This window comes from Homo sapiens, chromosome 20 (assembly GCF_000001405.40).
Source record: "Homo sapiens chromosome 20, GRCh38.p14 Primary Assembly".
NCBI lineage: Eukaryota > Metazoa > Chordata > Mammalia > Primates > Hominidae > Homo > Homo sapiens.
In genome coordinates this window covers 52,856,062-52,874,702 of record NC_000020.11, presented here as the reverse complement: position 1 = coordinate 52,874,702, position 18,641 = coordinate 52,856,062, and the positions used below count along the sequence as shown (strand labels likewise).

Genomic DNA, 18,641 nt, shown 5'->3' with positions numbered 1-18,641 from the left:
ACAATGGCTGTGTTGGTGTTAAGACAGAGTTGAGTAGTTGTAACAGAGACCATATGGTCTGCAAAACCTAAGATATTTACTATCTGACTCTTTACCGAAAAAGTGTGCCACCTCCTGTGCTAGACTATCATTCCCTGGGCTTCCAGAAGACTCCTCATGCAAAATGTTGTTGAGGTAACTAAAAGGAGAGAGGTAGGTCTTTGTCAAACTTGAAAAAGGGACTATTCCTGTTTTGTGCCAGCTTGTTAATAAGTATCAAAATTTGGCCTGAGACTTGTTTTTTTTGAAACCTGGTTGTGAATTGTCGAAGCAGACAAATAATTGACCCCTTTCTCTAAACTGTTGGGAGTCAATGATATTGGCCAAAAAGAAACTTGTAGTTGTGTAAAGCCCAATTTGCGTAGGTCATTTTGCTGCAGATGCCCCAAGAGAGGTAGAAATTAGAGCTGGAACAAAAATCTCATTGGCACTTTAGTCCCTGGTTTCAGATTTCTTCTAAGACTCATTTGCTTTACTTCTCTTTGCATGCCCTAAAACACTGAATATCTTTAAAATAAATCCCTCTTGTTTTACTTAAGCCACATCCAGCAGATATTTATCACATGAAACCAAATAGAGTCCTTATTTATATACTCCTCATGATCAGCAGAAGGGGATATAGACAAAGGAGTTGCAGTTATTCATTTTATGGAGCCATAAGATCTTCTTGAATTATTTAGCTAACTGTCCACCAGCAGTCATAGCCTAGTACTTCTCACACTTAACCCAGAAATCTTAGTTATTAAGGTGACGCTTTATAATCTTTGCATTGGCCAACAACACAGCAAAAATATTGATACTTTTTAGGTAAGATAGGGAAGTGTGTAGTGTGTTGATCGGTAATAAGTAACCTGCACCAAAGTTCTTTTTAAGAGAGGACAAGACATCACAAACCTAAGACAGCCCAAGTGCCTAATCTATTATTCATAGATAGTTCCAAAGATTCAGCAGGTGATCAAACAGACATTCCAAAGACATAAATAGGGTCAGTGCAAATACCTTGTAAGAACCAGCGCTTCACTTTTTCTGCTGTGCTTCATTCTTTTTGTAGAATTTGCCTTCCTTACTGGGAGAAGCTATCCCCCAAAGTTGCCATCGCTGTCATTTCCCACCAGTCTCACTGCTAGGTGACAATACCAGCCACTGTTTGAAAGATGTGCAGGGAAGACAGCAAGAGTATGCTCTTTGCAATGACAGATCAATAAACACCTTCATGCAAGATCAATAAACACCTTCATGCAAGCATGTCCCAGTTAGTGGATAAATGGGCCCCTGTTTTAATTATTAAAAAAGAACTGGCAAGAGTCAATAGATAGGCACTTTATAAAACAAAAAGTGTTTCTAATACTAAATTGACTTGGTTGTAACTTTCTTCTGACTTAATCGTCTTCATCATAGCATTTATCAACAAATGAGAACTAAAAGCAGTCTGCTAACCAATAGACATATCAGCTTTTAGGGTCACTGCCATGGAAAGAACATTTGCAAATTTTCCATAAAGATGTCCTTTTGCTATTTTGTACTGACTTCCAACATTGTTCATCTTTTGACGAAGTCCATGGTTCTTCTTGGTAGGAGCACCTATGAGCCCGGGGAATTCTTTTTCCTGCCTTTTCTAGTGGTGAGAGCACATTGGTTTCAAAAGTCTGTGCTACATAGAGCACTCACTTTTCCTGTACTAATACTAATAAATCCAGGAAAGAGTGCTTCATGAAATGGATGGACCTACGCCTGCTTCAGTATAATGGGGCTTTTATGCTGACATGCTCCATTAGGGACCACCACACACAGCTTCCTCAATAAACAAGCTTACTGCTCTAGTAATAGAGTCATTTATGGAGAGAAGTCAGCCAAAAGACCAGAACTTACGAGAGGTTCTCAGAGAGGAATCACACGGAGTTAGGTTAAAAGATAATCCCATAGATTCAAATCGAAAGACCATCTTTCAGCTGAAAACCTGGTTCCTCTGGCTGGGAGCCCTGGTTCCTCTGGTCCAATTACCATACCTTTTCTTTGTGGTCCAGAGAGAACAGCTCATTCGTAATGTCCTAAATAAGGAAAGGAAATTTAGTGGCTCTAAAGCCAATTAAAGCTCTTTCTGAATATTAGAGTTTCTCTTTTGCCAAAACACAAGAATTTCTGATCAAACAAGAACTTTCCCACTTTTAATTAGCCCCTTGTGTTCCAAGAAGAAAAGCAAGGAAAAAAAGTCACCATTACAGGGATTTTAAATTATTTAGCTCTACTGATTATTAAAGGAAGATGTCACAAAGAAATGGGTGTTTCCTTTTCTCTGGTCTCATATCTTCTGTGGTGGGAGTAACTGTGTCTTATCTAGGACTAAACAAATCCAGGAGATTTAGGAAGCATGCTGGCAAGAGGTGGGTACAAGCTGAAAGCAAGAGCTTCTTGTAAGACATGATTGCCTGAGAAAGTCCCCAATGTGCTTGCTTTACAGCCACCCCCCAATGTATCAGGTGGCCTAATAGAACTCAACATATGCTATCATTGCTCTGTGTGTGTGTGTGTGTGTGTGCGCACACACATATATATAGGATGTGGGATGTAAGATATGTACATATGTGGATATAAGATATCTGTGTCTGTCTGTGTGAATATGTGTGTGTGTGTGTGTGTGTGTGTGTGTACATCTCTCTGTGTATTTAGATATCTAAAGGAGGGTTTAAAGGCCTCTTCCTTTGGCAATTTTATCTGTCCCTCTTTTATTAAGATATAACCAACGTATAGTAAACTGAACAGAACTTTAGGTGTATACCATAATGAATTTTTACATATGTTTATGCCTGGGTAACCACTATGCAGATTAAGATATAAAACACTCTTAAGAGCTTAGATTTGAAGACAAATTAGTCATTTCATAAAGTTTCTTTCTTCTGCACCCCCAAAAGAAGAGAGGGTAGTACTATAGCACCAACCAGCCTCCAACCACAGGGGATCTCTGTCCTTATGGATTACAAGGTTGATACTGTTATAAATAGTCCTAAAGAGGTGAAGCATTCCTGGTGAATGAATTCTGGAGGATGTTTCCCCGGCAGCCAATCCCAGCCTCATGATGGGAGGAGGCTCCTCCCACAGGGAGGAGTGGGAAGACACACTTTGTGCCCCTTCCCAGCCTCCTCTGCAGCTAGCCCATGTGACTGCACTTCAACCAATGGAAGCCGTGGGAGTACCAGCTGGGACCTTCTGGGAAAGACCATCCCTCCTGGGAGATGAGTGTGGAAGTTCCACTTCCTTTTAAGACAGGGGCATGTAGATGGGATTCTTGGAGCTGGGGCAGCTATCTATGAGGGAAGATGACGCCAGTAGCCCCAGGACAGCAGCAAGATGGAGGCTGAGTCCTGGAAGACAGGGTTGAATCTCCAAACTAGAGGCCAAAAAGCTTGTGTTGTGAGCAGCCACGTATTAAACATTTTAGGCTTTGTGGGCCGCCCATGGTCTCTATTGCTGCTGTTGCTTTAGCAATCTTTCTTAATTTGGGGGCTGTAGAAAAAAAAAGAGAGACACAGGCTGCAGTGTAGATTTGATCCACTGGCCATGGTTTGCTGAACCCTTCTCTAAACCAACCCAACAACACATATCTGCAGAGTTTTTGTTAAGGATGATGATTTAAAACAAAAACATAAACAACTGTCTTTTAAGCTACTCTAGGTCAAATATTCTGTTACTTGCAACTAAAATATTCCCCAATGATGTTGCAGTATGTCTGCCTTCTCAAATGTGTTTCACATCTTAAGGAAAATGGAATGATATTGAACTAAGTACTTGAGATGCCAAGGGGAAATATGCTACAAGTGTAGTAGGACATTTTCTCAAAATGTAGTGTTTTCTCCTGCCTTGGAGGGACAGGACTGGATGGAGGGACAAATGGCTGTGGAGAGCAAGGACCACGATCTGGAGGTGTAGAGCACTTTAAAATGCTAAGAGGAAAGCAAAAAGATTCTAAAATTTCTTAAAAGCAGGGTCCAACTAGCAGCATTTTCCACCTGAACAGTTTATATGGTTTACTGCCTGCATTTCTCCTTCCTTTCAATGCCATAATTGATGGTTAGTTTTATGTGTCAACTTGGCTAGGCTACAGTACCAGTTATTTGATCAAACGCTAGTGTTGCTGTGGAGGTATTTTGTAATGTGTTCAACATCTACAGTCAGTTGACTGTAAGTAGAAGAGTTTATCTTTGATAATGTGGATGGGCCTCCTCCAAGCAGTGGAAAGTTCCTGAGAACAAAACTGAGGTTTCCCCAAGGAAAGAGAAATTCTGCCCATCACTGTAGCGTGAGCTCCTGCCTGGGAGTGTTCAGCCTGCTGCCTTATGGATTTTGGACTTGCCAGCCTTTGCAATGCTGTATAGTCGATCCTCATTATTCACGGATTCCATATTTCTAATTCTACTTACTAAAAGTTATTTGTCACCCTGAAATCAATACTCAGAGAGCTTTCACAGTCATTTGCAAACGAGCACAGAGAGGCAAAAGATTTGAGTCACTTGATTCACATGTTCCAGGCTGAGACTGAAAAAAAAAAACAAAACAGAACACTGCTCTGCCTTCTTGTTTCAGTTCTCACACTGTTAACAGGAGTCCTTTTTGTGGTCTGTTCAGTGCCATGTTTTTCACATTTTTGTGCTTTTTGTTCATGATTTTGCTGTTTAAAATGGCCCCTAAGGGTAGTGCTAAAAAGTGCTGTCTAGTGCTTAGGTATTGTAAGCACAAGAAGGCTGTGATGTGCCTTGCAGGGGAAATAGGTATGCCAGGTAAGCTTGTTCCGGCATGAGTAATAGTGCTGTTGGTTGTAAGTTCAATGTTAATGAATCAAGAATATATACTGAAGAAGGTGTCTTTGAACATAAACACACATCGTACAAGATCATATATTCATCAGTTGGCAAAAATGTGACCAGAGGCTTATAGGAACCTAATTATGTAATTCCCCTAGGAACAATGTCACTGATTCAGTGTCTGTAGGGTGTGTGTGTGTGTGTGTGTGTGTGTGTGTGTGTATATATATGTCTGATTGATACACCAGCTCACCAAGTGTGAGGTTCTTAAGGGCAGGCCAATCAATTGTTCAATGACTCCTAGTACCCTCAAGATAAAGTCTGACTTGTTACCACAGCCCTCAATATTTGCTGTTCTCTGAGTCCTGCAACCTGTGCAACCTCACCTTTTCTCTCTCTGGCACAGCATTTGGCCTTTAACCAAACTTGACCATGTGCCGTCTCTGAATGCACTGCCTTATTTTCCTTTTCTATGCCTTATGCACCTGCTCTCTGTCTCTACACTGCCAGACCTCTGCCCACCACTCCAGCCTCATTTCACTGACCTGCATCAGCCCTCTCCCGGCATCCCTTAACTTTCAGCTCTGTCTCAGCATCCCTGGCTTCCTACAGCCTTGCCCCCTCAAGGCATATTTGCACATGTCGGGTCCCTCTTCTGGAATGTTCTTTCATGCTCCCTTTGTTAGTTAAAACTTACACCTCTCCCATAACCCAAGCCACATTCCCTTGCTTCCCTCACTATTGCCCATTGCATTGCATACTTCCCTTGTATGGCAATTGTCAAAATTGTAATTTTTATCAGTTTCAGTTACTTAATTAGTGCAGGGTTTCTTAATAATTTTGTTCCATGGCTCCCTATGGCAGTCCAGGAAGGCCAGAATAATGTTATCAAATGCGTAATATAAAATACATAGGATTACAAAGAAACTTAGATTTCAATATAATTGGTTATCAAAATATTTTTTAAAGAGTAGCACAGTAATAACTGTGCTTCTTTATTACCATATTAAATAACAAGATCTAGTGGAAAATCTAATAACTATTGTAATTTTGAAGTGGCGATGAGCACGAATGATATTTTAAGGCATTTTCAGCAATTGTATTGGGATATAAGAATCTAGAATTTATATTGGTGAGCAAAGTCACAGATATTTCTACTTCTACTGGATTTGTTGCCTAAATTCACAATGGGAGGAAATGCTAAATATTACTTAAAGATTTCTAAAAATAGGCCGGACGCGGTGGCTCACACCTGTAATCCCAGCACTTTGGGAGGCTGAGGCGGGCGGATCATGAGGTCAGGAGATTGAGACCATCCTGGCTAACATGATGAAACCCTGTTCCTACTAAAAATATGAAAAAATTAGCCAGGCATGGTGGCAGGTGCCTGTAGTCCCAGCTACTCGGGAGGTCGAGGCAGGAGAATGGTGTGAACCCAGGAGGCGGAACTTGCAGTGAGCCGAGATCGCGCCACTGCACTCGAGCCTGGGCGACAGAGCGAGACTCCTTCTCAAAATAAATAAATAAATTTAAAAAATAAAAATAAAAACATCATTGTTTTTTATCCAAGCTCACAGATTCCCTGTCCCTTGCTGAGTTCCTTGTACTCTAGATTACAGAGTTCACATTTATGTTTGAATTCCCCACTGTATCATAAGCTCCGAAGGGCAGAGCCATGTCTAATTTTGGTTACTATTATATTCCCAATACTTAGGACACAATAAATAATCAGTAAATAGCTGTGGAAGGACAAAATGGAAGGAACAAAGGGACTCCATTGTCTGCTTGGCCAAGTGGATTTTTACCCACGTGCTTTAAAACTTTGAAACTCAGGTCAGGTTTTATCTCCTTAAGATAGTCTTCCATGTTCATCGTCTATCACCCTTCTGGGTTGGCTGTCCCTCCTGTGAACACATTTTGTGAAATACTTCCTTCTGAAATAGTACTTTCTGAAATTATCAATTTAATTATTTGTCTTCTCACTCATATGTTTTTTATTGGAAGACTTTCTAGGGAAAGGGATATGTTTTATTTCTCTGTAACTCTCTGTATTTATCTCTCTATATTAGTGTTTGTTAATACAGGGAGCAGGACACAGTTTTGTGCTTAATGGAATTTTAAAAAATTGAGCTGAGTGTTATTTTCTCCTTTTTCACAGAGGTGCTATCTCTGCTGTGACTCTGATATCACGTGGGACCCCTGGCTCCTCTTTGACCTATTCTTTTTGCCTTTCATTCTCTTCCAGCCCCTTCTTGGTAGGCCTATGGGTCAGTGTTCATGCAATTGCCCATTCGTGGTTTGGCTCTAAGACAAACTCCATCAGCATGAATAATGACATGCATTTCATAAATCTTGAAATGTAGCTCTCTTTTGATCAGTCACGGAGAAACAAGGGACACACATGGCCTTTGGAATGTGAACAGTTTTTAAAAGAATCCAAAAGGCAGCACATCCACATACATTTATCCCATCTAACAACAAAGAGCACAGATTCAGCAGCCCTAAGAGGCTCTCAGCCTGAGTGCCTGGAATAAGAAACATCATGGGAGCCTCTAACCGCTTGTACCTCTTGTCTTTGTTGATTTTGCCAGAGGGATGGACAATGGATGACTGTGACTTTTGTTTCTTCTATATGTTTATGTATTTATTTGACATGTACCTTGTTGGAAGGTGGAGTGGGAGGAAGTGGGAAGTTCTTTGGAATACATATGGAATCAAAGCAGTTGCTTTGAATGAAGGGTTTCCCAATTGAAAACCACTCTTTTGTTACCACATCTGAGTATTAATTATTTAATTTATGACTTACGATTTTATTGTTAAAACAACCTCTTTACGTTATACATTAAAAATATTTTCTAATAGTCATTAAAACAAGAATTTTCATGAACCATCCCAAAGTGTTTTGTATACTGTCAGTACTAGCAAGTTTATGGACTATGGGTCAGGCTCTGTCTATGTTCCCCATTCTTTTAGCTAAGTCTGCTAATAATCTATTTTTAAAAATTACCACAAAATGTTTTATATGTACACTACGAAGTAGGGGTTTGTTTTGTCCATTTTAAACATTTTATGCACGGCATCACATCATTCATATCCATCTGCCCAACGTGCTTTGGGTGCTCAACTTTATGTCTTGGAGATTTAGCTGTATTGATAAATTCAAGCCTTGTTCACTCATTCTAACTGCTGTATGAATATACCACTATTTGCTTATCTATTTTCCTATGGATAAGCATTTAGGTTTTTCTGATCTCTCAGTATTAAAAGCAGAGCACATTCATTTTCACAGAGGTCTCCTTGGTTATACTTATGAGAATCTTACTAATGAATACACCCTAGAGTGGAACTTCTGGCTCCAGCAATGAGTACACACATCTTAAGTGGCATCAGATACATCTCTAACATGCTTGTACCTTTTACATTCCTGGTAGCAATGCAGATTTCCACGTCCTCTGACAATATTTGATATTATAAGACTTCTAAATTTTGTTAATTTTAGGGGTGTGAAATAGTAGACCATTGTCATTTTAAGTGGCATGTCTTTGATTGGCACCCTCTGTGAATTGTAGCTACCCTTAAGTGCTTTAGATGTGTTGAGGGCATTGTCGTGTTCAATCTGTCCAACAGTCTTGTAAGGTAAGTATGACTGCCATATTCCACAAATTTGCTCTCAACCACACAGCTAGAATTCAAACCTTCAAATGCTTCCACTTAACTACCCTGTATTACAGCCACTCCCCCTCTCCGTATCAACATGTAGGCAGCCATATATTGCTAAAGAGTGAAACTTAGTATTTGCAGACATCAATTGCTGCTTACAACTTTCCCTTATTATTCCATCTCATTAGCTAACTTGTAAACCTAAGAATGAGACCTCTCTTACCCCCAGTGCAAGGCACAGGTTTGTATGTGTGGTAGGTTTGTACATATTATGTGTTTTTTAATTAAAAAAGAGAATAATGGTAATAATAAAAACCTTATGGAGTTTCACATGGATTGTAAGGCTGTGTGACTTAAACACACACTCTCTCTTTACGGAATTATGCTCCAAGCATTCTCCTGCAGTCTCCTTTGCATCTTGGGACATTCTTTCTCTTTCTTTTCTTTTCCCACTCCCTGCCTCCCTTTTTCTCCCTCTCTCTCTTTCTCTCTCTCTCTCAATCTCTGTCTCTCTGAGAGAACTCTAGTTTTTTGCTGTTTTACTTTTTGTTCTCTTTTGTTTCACCTTCAGGGATAACTTTGCTTTGTACGTGGCTGGTGAGAGGATGGGAGGAGTGATTTGGGAGTGTTTCTGATAGAGTCAAAGCAATAACTAGATGGAGTTCCTTGGGGGTGGGTGATTTTTGTCAACAGCGTTGACTCATTTTTATTTTAAACTGGACACATCTGCTGAGGGAACTGGAGAGGGGGATGTCTCTTTATCATTCAGAACTACCCACAAGACTGTCTTGCATGGAGCGAGCTGGACTTGATTTAGAACTGTGTCCCAGTTGCCTGAATGAGGTCTAGGGAATCAGACTTTCCATAATACACCCCGGATTAGTCATTCGGTGAGCAGGTGAATATTTGCTTTTGCAATTGTGCCTCACTAAATAATCTCGATAGATATAAAAACAGTGAATTCAGCTGCTTGTGAATAGTATGGATATTTGAGCTTTTGTGCAGTACCAATCCCCAGCAATATTTTTTGTATTAAATACCATGAATCCACTTCACCTGTCAGCACTATTCAAAACACGAACTGCTGTATGAATAGAAAGGGTGTTCTGGGATCTTTCAGATGATTACTGTTGCTAGGAAAACCACTTCCTGATATCTTTGTGCTTGCTGTATGTGTCTCTCTTTGTGTACAGCTTACAGTGACAAGCAAATTCATAGCATGGTGTTGGGGAGAAATTGGGAAAGTTTAGAAATGTTTAAAGAACACTGCTTAAAGTTAAAAAGGGGATGTCATCTAAAATAATAGTTATGCCTGCTTTCATGTGGAGGATTATAGCTATCAGAAGGAGAGCAATGAGGCTGCATTTTTGTTATGGTGGTGCAGACTTCAGGGTCATTCCAGCCATCATTTTCTGGAACCTCAGAACTAGGTTATACTTTTTTGGTGCCTGAGGAAATGACCATTTTTGCTCCTTGTGAATGTCTTGCCAATTATTGTTTCTATAGTGTCAGGTCTGCTTAAAGTTGCAATTCTACAAGACTGATGGGAGGGGCTTGTGTGAACTCTCTTGAGGACATAGTTGGGAATGAAAGCAGAAACAGGTAAGACAGGCTCATGCATTCACTCAGAAGAAGGCATTCTTCCCAACTGTTGCTGCAGAGGTGAGACACGGATCTCTTATCCTGGAAACGTCCTGAAAGGATCAAAAGCCCGTGTGGCCTCAGTACCAGTGACTAGCACAGAGGCTTCCACCACCATCACTTCTGCATGATCTCATGCAAAAGTGATGGTACTAACATCGCAGCAAGCCCAGTGCTGTGCAGGAGCCACACATCATCTCCGTAGAATTTCTGCAACAGTTTTAGTTGCTGAGGAAACTGGGGCCAGTTATTTCACATCTCTGGACCTCTCTGTCCTCATCTGTAAGATGGGGATAATGTGTTTATCTACTTAATAAGGCTGATGTGAGGGCTTAATGGTGTAATGCATGCAAATAATTCATTATAGCACCTGGCACATATTAAGGATTTCAATGAGTGTTTCTTTAAAGACTCAGGAAAGAACTGGCCTGCCCTAACATCCAGATTCCTTCACGTCATCCTCACTTGTTCTTACGTTGTGCAGCTCACTGGTTCCTCACAGTATTATGTGCTAGATGTTGATTTGCCAATGTTTTCTTGAAATAGGTCAAAGAATCTTGCTGGCATGGATTGCTGTTTTGTTTTTGTGTTTGTTTCACCAAAGATGTAATAATAATAGCAATAATGAAAATGATAAAACTAAGACTTCTTTTTTACAAACTTTTATTTTAGGTTCGGGGTACATGTGAGGGTTCATTACTTAGATAAAATTGCATCATGGGGGTTTGGTGTACAGATTATTTCGTCACCAGATATTAAGCCCAATACCCAACAGTTATCTTTTCTGCTCCTCTTCCTTCTGTCACCCTCCAACCTCAAGTAGACTCCAGTGTCTGTTATTTCCTTCTTTGTGTTCATGAGTTCTCATAATTTAGCTCCCACTTAGAAGTGAGAACATGTGGTATTTGGTTTTCTATTCCCGTGTTAGTTTTCTGAGGATAATGGTCTCTAGCTCCATCCATGTTCCTGCAAAAGACACTATCTCATTCTTTTTTATGGCTGTATAGTATTTCATGGTGTATACGTACCACATTTTCTTTTTCCAATCTGCCATTGATGGATGCATTTAAGTTGATTCCATGTCTTTACTATTGTGAATAAGCTAACACTTCTTAATCAATTTATATTAACCAAGCTACTTTCAGATTGATTCTCTCATTTGAACCAACTCCCAGATACCATTGACCAAACAAGAGTAAGAAAGAGGAAACTGGGGCTCAAATAAATGTGAATGACTTGCTTAAAGCCACCAATGAAAATGGGATAGAGGTAGCACCTCCTTCTAGTTTTCTGACTTCCATTCTTTTACTTATTCCACTACATAATATTGTTAGAGAGGTCTCCAACTGGGAAATGGGGACAGACACAAGAATGGTCAAAGATTATTGCAATCATCAAGACCCTTATTCTTGTCTGAGAGTCTATCCTGAGTTTGTCACTAAGATTAATTTCATATCTTGACTCCAGGTAAGGTTTGGGATAAATTATGTCTAAAATTATAACAGGAAACTGGAGTATTAGCAAGAGGCTTCAATTCAGGGGCCTTTTAGTTTACATTTAAATCCCCCAGAGAATGTAGAGCACTCTCTTTCCAGGGCCACTGGGCACAGAGACAGATTGTGACATCATATAGAGTGTATGATTTTAGGATATCAAAAAATGTACTCTTTTTCTAAATATTGCTCCTCAGCCAGCCCCGCTACAGAGCCTGGTATTTCCTCTTTTAAGAAATTGAGAGCAAGTACCTTTTACCTGGGAAGGGGAAACTCATCAAATGCTATCTGCTCTTGGGACCCAATCCTGAGTTACTTTATCAGATTAACCTGATAGTCACCAGAACTCCATTCAAACAGAACACAGGACTGTTATATTTGGGTCAGTAAAGGACAAAGATCTGGTGTCTGGACTGCAGGTGCTGTGGTATCGTTGGAAGCAAAGATGGAAAACAAAGCAGGAGATGAAGGGTTCATAGAGATAAACTTCTTCCTATTTTGCCTGGGGTAAGAGTTGACTCTACTCCTTGCCTCCGAAATAATGGGGTATAAAGCACTTGAGAACAGCCTTGGATGGCACATGGGAGATGCCCTTACTTCATAAATGCTGCATTTGGAGTATTTGCCTGATGATTGCTGGGAAAATCAAGACAAATGTATTCCAAGCTTCTAGTCCTTCCCCACATACACAAATGTACAACCCAGGGCTTCTCATCCAGAGATTCTGCCCGTTGCTGCTGCCATCCTGGCACTGAAGATAAACTCTGCATGGCGCGTGATGGATGTGTCTGTTTGGGGGTGGGGATGGGTACACAGAGGCAGCGGCAGCTCCTGGACAGGGGTGGGGCTGTGATCGATGGGATCCAGTTTATCCCATGGCTTCTGTTGAGCCAGACTGTCTGGGTAAATCCTCCCCAAAAGTCAATCTGCAGTAAAGAGAAGAAGGGGTCCCATCACATTCTGACATGGTTTGTTTGTATTTAAAACTAACATTTTTTGAGGGCTTCCTCTATCCTAGGCACTATGCTAGGCATTTTCTGTACGTTATCTCTGATTTGGAAACTGATTTTTTTCACAAAGTTTATTAAGATTTAAATGCTTTAAGCAAGGGTTCATGGTTTATCATGCTACTCTGCCACATAAAGGTAGATATTTAATTTTTAAAATATTAAAATTACTAAAATAAAACTTTATAATTCTACTCCCTGGAACTTTTCCTGAGGGGATAATTAAACAATTGTAAAGTGATATAAGTACAGGATGAATTTTGCAGCAAAGGTTATAACATAGAAAATTTAAAAAAATCTATATGCTCATCAATTGGGAATGTGTGTATACTTGTATGTATATGCAGTATATGTGTCGGTGTGAGTAGGTGTCTGTGTATGTGTTTATATACACATATGCATATGTGCACACATATAAGCACATATGCATATATATACACACTTGTGTACATATAAATGCATATGTATATATTATATAGGAGGTATATCTAAGATGCTCAAGAGAAATTTTAAATGAAAAGAGTAGGCTTGTTAAAATGTTATTTCCATATCCTTATAGTACACATTAATAAAAAGGCTGAGAAGGATATGTATGAGTTGCTCAAAGTTATTTTTTCCAGAGAGGCTAAGGAAGGGAATTTACGGGTGAAGATGTTATCTTTCTACTTCATTCACTTCTGTATATTTTTAAAAATAATATGCATGTATTGATTTTGTAATCAACTCCCTCAGTAAAGCTCTTTACACTCGAAGGGGAAGGGGATTAAAAGGCATACTGTACACAAGTTGCACTGCCATAATATATCACCCATTTAATTACCACCAATAGTGGTGAAATTAGCCAGTTTCACAGATATCGTCACTTCTGGTCCTTAACTCATTTTACTTTCTTCGTTTGCCTGATTAACTACTTTCATTCAGGGCACTGAGCACATCAAAGTGGTTATTTAAAATATAAAAGAAGTCTTGGAAATAAAAGGGCAAGTAACTCAGGTAAAATTAAGCACTTTATGAGGTCAATATACTTATTTTTGGAGGCTAACAGTCTATAAAGAAGACAGCAGCCCTTGGGTAAATACATAATCCATTTTGATGAAAACAGGTGTCAATAAAGAGCCTCTTCCAAATGGAGATGTGCAGGGTATCATTACCCTTCTTGCAATCTTTCCTTCCTTTAAACATCCAAAGACCTGAATGGCATCAGGGACCAGAAAGCCTCAGAAATGCTTGTATGAGTACTCTGTGCAAAGCCCTCATTGAGCTAGCATGGCATAGTGGGAATATGTGGATTAGGGGGTTTCAGTGCTGAAACTGATCCCAAGTCCACTAAATTCAAATTTTAAAACACAAGGCAAATGCCTTCATCTCTCTCTACACCTCTGTTTCCTTATTTTCAGGATGAGAGCAGTACTCATCATTCTTGCAACTATGAACTACACCATGTTTCACATAATAGTCTGTGAATAGCGTTGAACACTTCAGTTGAATTCATATCAGTTCAATAAACATTTATTAAGTAGTTATGTTGTACTAGGGACCCTACCAGGCCGGGGGGATGGAAAAGTAATAAAAATCCACCTCAGGCCTCAAGACCTTACCACATGGAAAGCAGTTCTTTATTTTCTTTCTTTATTTATGGTTCTTTGTTTTTCTGAGACATTCTACCACATCACAATCAGTTATGAGATTTGTTGCAAATCATGTGTTAATGCAACTAAAGAACTAAATAAATGTGTATATGGTTTTCAAGTTTTCGAGATGTGAGGAGTTTAAAGGTTATGTCTATGGTACTGTCACTCTTCCTTTATCTTTAGCTCTGTCTTTTTCTTTTCTTCAGCTTTATTGAGGCAAATTTACATATAATACAATTAAACTGATATACTTTCTTCAGTGGTAGAAAAAGGCAAGGAGTTAGAGTTATCCCAGGGAAATGATCTAGAACCCAGAGTCTTCCTTACCCGAGCTATACCCTTACTTGTTATAATGCACTTTTATAAATACCGTGTTAAAAATTACCTTCTTTACTCAGCTGCAAATTATCTTTTTCTGTGGGTGTTGGGGGAATGAGCATCAAAATCAGAGTGTGTCATCGCAAATGTACATAATCCATCAGCAGTGTTGGGATAAGAAAAATGAGGATGCAATCCACTTATCTAATGGAGTGCTACACAGACAGAGTTTACGAATATACTTCTCTCTAGGAGTTTTCAAGATGGAGACAAATACGAAGATCTAATTTATTTGGTAGATAAGAGAATTAATTGCTATTATCTACCACAAACACTAACGGGATGGGAGGGAGGGCCAGGGTGGCTGGTGGATTGCAAAGGGCAATTGGCTGCTGTTGCTTTTCCTCTTTGCCTGGGGAGGTCTTCCTGGAAGAGGAGGGGCCTCAGGAACACTGTGACTGATTAAAGAGGGAAGGGCTTGCCAAGTCCCAGGTCATAGGGAATTCCAGGCCTGGGAGGGAGGAGGCTTTAGCCCTCCTGCTTTAATGTGCCCTGTTACAGAGAGACGGAGAGACAGAGAGATGGAAAGATGCACTTAGCGATGACAGCTAGTAAAGCAACGTTTTCTTTCTGTTCCATGAACCATTTTAATCAAACCATGGAGAACTCAGAAACATAAACACATGTGCATCTCCTTCTCTCTCTTTGCTACTTTATCCTTCTCCCTTTCCTGTAAGAGTGACTCATGGTGGACAAATACTCTTTGCCTCAGATCTGTCTAAGGGAGTGAGTCAATGTAAGAAAAATTAAAATGCAGAAAGAGGAGGATAACAATTAAATCAAAGAGCTGGAGCTTCTTTGGGCGTCTGGTGGTAGGTGTGAGCAAGTGGCTACATGCCAGTGCTTAGGGGCTAGTGGGGCCACATGTTACCGTGAGGCGTGACCCCTCTTTAACAACCAGTCGCTCAGCCTTACAAACAGATTTCCTGGCTAGTGTGAAAGTTACCAATAGAAGCCGGATGCAGAGGAATAAAGCCAGCAGTTTAATTCATTCGGGCTCTTGATCATTCTGAGAATAAAATAGGTCTCTATTTTAAGGCACTAGAGAGGATTCCCAAACCAAGTGTGAAAGAAATGTTATTTTCCAATAGAAATTAATTTTTATAGCAAGTTTTTATGCTGTTGGCTGGAAGAAACAATTCTCGTCAATTCATGCTTCTTCAGTCAATTCACAGTTATGTGTCTAAGTTCTGGGGCATTGGTAGAGCAAACTCATGGGGATGGGAAGGAATGTAGTCTAGACCTGTGCAGTCCAAGATGTTAGCCACTAGTTACACGTGGCCATTTAAATACGTCAAAATTCACTAAAATTAAAAATTCAATTCCTTAGTTGCACTAGCCACATTTCAAGTGCCCGATGGCCACATATGGTGAGTGGCTGTGAAGATACAGAATATTTCTACCATTAACAAAAGTTATATCTATCAGAGCTGGTCTACACTATCATCATCTAGCACCTTAAGAATTTCCTGACATGTTTTCATTCTCAGTTTTACAGCTAAGGAACCTGAAACCCAGGGAGCTTACATAACTTGTTGATTGTCATTCAGATTCCAGGTAGCAGAACTGGAGCTCAGACCTCTTTTGGGGGGATCCTAAGCAATACTTTTGCTGCTCCCTTCTGGTCCACATCACAAGTCTGGAGAATCTAAAACAAGCTGGGCAATGAGAAAATCTAACTCTTCATGTGTTATTCCCAATAAATCAGTTATGACATAAACTTTATGCTCTCTTGTTGAGGTTTTCAAATACGTGTCCAGAATTTTGAAACACAAAAATGCGTATTCTCCACATTTTTGCTATTTTGACTCTTCTCTAAGGAACAATGGACTCCTGGTTTAGTTTGAATGAAGATGAAAAGGCAAGTCCAAGAATACAACGCACATCAATTAATATAACCAAATATTATCCAGCCTCAATAGGTTTAGCTGAGGAGGTCTAGGTAGATGAACTTACGATCAGAGACAACCTAATTGCCTCCAATGAATTCAATCCTTCCAATATAGATAATGGGCCATCTCCAAGTCTCAGTGACTTTGTTTATAAAGTTTATGGTCACACAAAGTCCTCCGAAGGTCAGACAGCTCTGCAGAGCAACCCCATGCTATGACTGGGTGATCCAAGTTGCTCCATCCCTGTGACTAGCAGCTGAGCCCCTGGCCCTTATCCTTGGCTGTCAGAGAAAACGTGGACGATTACATGGGGCTCTGCATTCCTCAGTCCAGAAGTGACATATGTTACATCCCTCAAAGAGCCCTAGTCACATCACCAGCCTTACTGCAAACAAACTGGGAAAGGAGAGGAGGCTACAGACTATTGGCTGGGCATTCTCGTTTTTGCCACACTGGTAATTTAAAGTGATTGACAGTAGCAAAAATAGCAATATGTTATTGAGCACTCGACCCTGACTGAACTCTTTGTGTGCAATATCTCATTTAATCTTCACAACAGCCCCGTGTGGCAAGTACTACTATTATCTCTCTCTTAAAGCTTCACACAGTGGAACTTAGATGGGTTAAGAGATATAACTAAGGTCAAACAGAAAACAGAGAGCACAGCCAGTGCTTAAACTCGGGTCTGACATCAAAGCCCACAATCTTAACTTCTGTGCAGTAGTCCCTCCCTCCATCCCTCACTATATGTATTTGAGAAATTTTAGGGAAAGCTAAAGATGTCAGAAGCTTAGGGTTGGTTAAACATTATTGTTTTTTAAAAACTGAAAATAAAGTTGCACTGTAGAATAGTGCTGTTCAATAGAACTTTTTGTAAAGGTGGAGATGTTACTGTGTCTGTGTGGTCCAATCTGATAGCCACTGGCCACATGTGGATAATGAGTACTTGAAATGTGGCCAGTATGACTAGGTACTAATTTTTAAATTTTATTTAATTTTCATTAAATTTAAATGGCCACATGTGGCTAGCGGCTACCATATTGGACAGTGCCATTTTAGAGACTACATAGTAGTGACTGTAACTTTCATCCTGAATTAGTCTGTTCTCACGCTGCTAATAAAGACATATCCGAGACTGGGTAATTTATAAAGAAAAGGTTTAATGGACTCACAGTTCCACATGGCTAGGGAGGTCTTACAATCATGGCAGAAGATGAAGGAGGAGCAAAGGAACATCTTACATGGTGACAGGCAAGAGAGCGTGTGTAAGGGAACTCACCTTTATATAAACCATCAGCTCTCATGAGACTTATTCACTATCACAAGAACAGCATGGGAAAGACCCACTCCCATAATTCAATTACCTCCCACCGGGTCCCTCTCACAACATGTGGAAATTATGGGAGCTAGTCTTCAAGATGAGATTTGGGTGGGGACAGCCAAACCATATCACATCCCCAATTATATTACAGAAAACATAGGCAATGATGTTGACCAACTATACAAAAAAATTAGTGACCATTGGAAACCAACATAGGGTCAAGGAGAATACATTGTATCAAATTAACCCATTCTCTTGTTGGTAAGAGTGACCAGCCTGGTAGAGTAAGAAGCTGTTATGTTTCTAAATTTTCGATGTCCTCATAGCATTGTAAAGATTTTTTTTGTTTGTTTTTTGTTTTTTTGAGAAGAAGTCTCACTCTGTCACCCAGGCTGGAGTGCAATGGCATGATTTCACCTCACTGCAACCTCCGCCTCCTGGGTTCAAGCAATTCTCCTGCTTCAGCCTCCCGAGTAGCTGGAATTATAGGTGCCCACCACCATGCCCGGCTAATTTATATAGTTTTAGTAGAGACGAGGTTTCACCATATTGGCCAGGCTGGTCTCAAACTCCTGACCTCAGGTGATCCACCTGCCTCAGCCTCCAAAAGTGCTGGGATTACAGGCATGAGCCACCGCATCTGGCCAAGATTATAAGATTCTTATCAACAAAATTGAGAAATAAGAACTTTATTATAATACAGGTAATGTGTATTTATCAAGCTTCTTCTAAAGTTAGCACTGTTCTTCCCACCAGCCTCAATGTCTCTCTTAGTAACGTTGC

The 18,641-nt window shown here is 40.0% G+C and overlaps 1 long non-coding RNA gene across 1 annotated transcript in view; it reads left to right on the top strand.

Moving 5' to 3' along the window:
- LOC105372668 (uncharacterized) overlaps positions 1-18,641 on the top strand; it is a 54,483-nt gene that overhangs the window by 20,724 nt on the left and 15,118 nt on the right. The gene's annotated exons all lie outside the window — the stretch shown is intronic.